At 46.2% G+C, this 1,239-nt stretch overlaps 1 annotated feature.

Annotated features, from left to right (window-relative positions):
- Window positions 202-703: an enhancer, noted in NCBI's record as "H3K4me1 hESC enhancer chr12:13277735-13278236 (GRCh37/hg19 assembly coordinates)". NCBI's record gives its function as "activates a minimal SCP1, AML or CMV promoter by ChIP-STARR-seq in naive H9 embryonic stem cells {active_cell/tissue: H9 hESC(naive)}" and the evidence as "EXISTENCE:reporter gene assay evidence [ECO:0000049][PMID:30033119]".

The raw sequence follows: 1,239 nt of genomic DNA, 5'->3' as shown, positions 1-1,239 counted from the left end.
AGCACAGAAAACGGTTATTGTTGTAAATCGCCAATGCATGGCAGCTGTTACTGTTACTCTCAGCCTCTTCCTCTTCATCGTCATCATCAACAGCATTCCTAGAAAGCAGAACAACATGTCAAAGGCACAGAGACAGGAAATGCCATGAAGCTGTTGAAAGTGCACCGAGAATGCCCTGTTGATGGACACAGGGATTGTGATAGCAGCAGTAAGGAGACAGGCTAGGTCTTTCAAAACCATGATTAATCCCAAAGAAATGCAGGCTTTATCCTGTAGATAAAGAGGGCACCAGTGGATAGTCTTAAGCAAGGAAGCAATCAGCTCAGATTTGCATTTCTGAACAACTGGGGCAGGGGCCAGTCTGAGGGTGCTGCCATTGTCCAAAATAGGAATGAGGCTGCTCTGGACCAAGTAGCTGGGCTAAGGTCGGGGGAAGGAGGGTGAGCTGGTAGAACTCATAGACTTTAGAGACTGCTTAGATGTTGAAGTGAGGGAGGAGGAGAGAGAGCTGTCTAGGGTGATGTCTTGGTTTCTGGTTTTAGTAAATGAGATGGTGGGGACATGAAGGGAGTCACCTGTTCGGACAGGGCAATAAGGTGAGGAGGAGGAAACAGGAAACAGCGGGTGAGTTCTCTGTCCATAAGACATTCCAGGGCTTCCTGGAACCATCAATGATCAACACAGGCAGCATTTATGAAGCCCTGCCACTCTGCTGAGCCTTCTGCTGCATGAGCTCATTTAATCCTTCCAACAACCATATAAAACAGATCTTGTTGTTGCTGTTGCTTTTATTCTTGTTTTACAGATAAGAAAACTGAGGCTTACAAACTTGCCAAAAGTCACACGGACAGTGGTGGGGGCAAAGATCTAAACCTATGCACATCTTCCTGCAAAGCCCACATGCTCCAAATTAATCCACTCTATTGACTCTTTGGACGGCCATCACCTCCTGCCCTTTCTCCTTTGTGTGAACTAGAAACATGTGGCCTTGTCTCCCTAACAGACCCAGACCCCACTTGGGTACACAGTTTGGAGACGGAGCTCACTCTTCCCTCAGCTGGGGACACTTGGCAGGGTGCAACCTGCACCACTGTACACTGGACAGTGTGAACTGACCTGGGAACTAAATAAGCCACCATGACAAGGTAAGATTTTCATTTAAAAAATAAAAAGTAGAGCTAGGGTAAAAATTGAGCCATGAAGATATAAAAGAAGGTTGTATATTTGGTAGATTTGTCA

The sequence above is a fragment of the Homo sapiens genome, chromosome 12 (genome assembly GCF_000001405.40).
Source record: "Homo sapiens chromosome 12, GRCh38.p14 Primary Assembly".
NCBI lineage: Eukaryota > Metazoa > Chordata > Mammalia > Primates > Hominidae > Homo > Homo sapiens.
The sequence above is the reverse complement of the archived record's forward strand: the minus strand, read 5'-3'. Positions and strand labels throughout refer to the sequence as shown.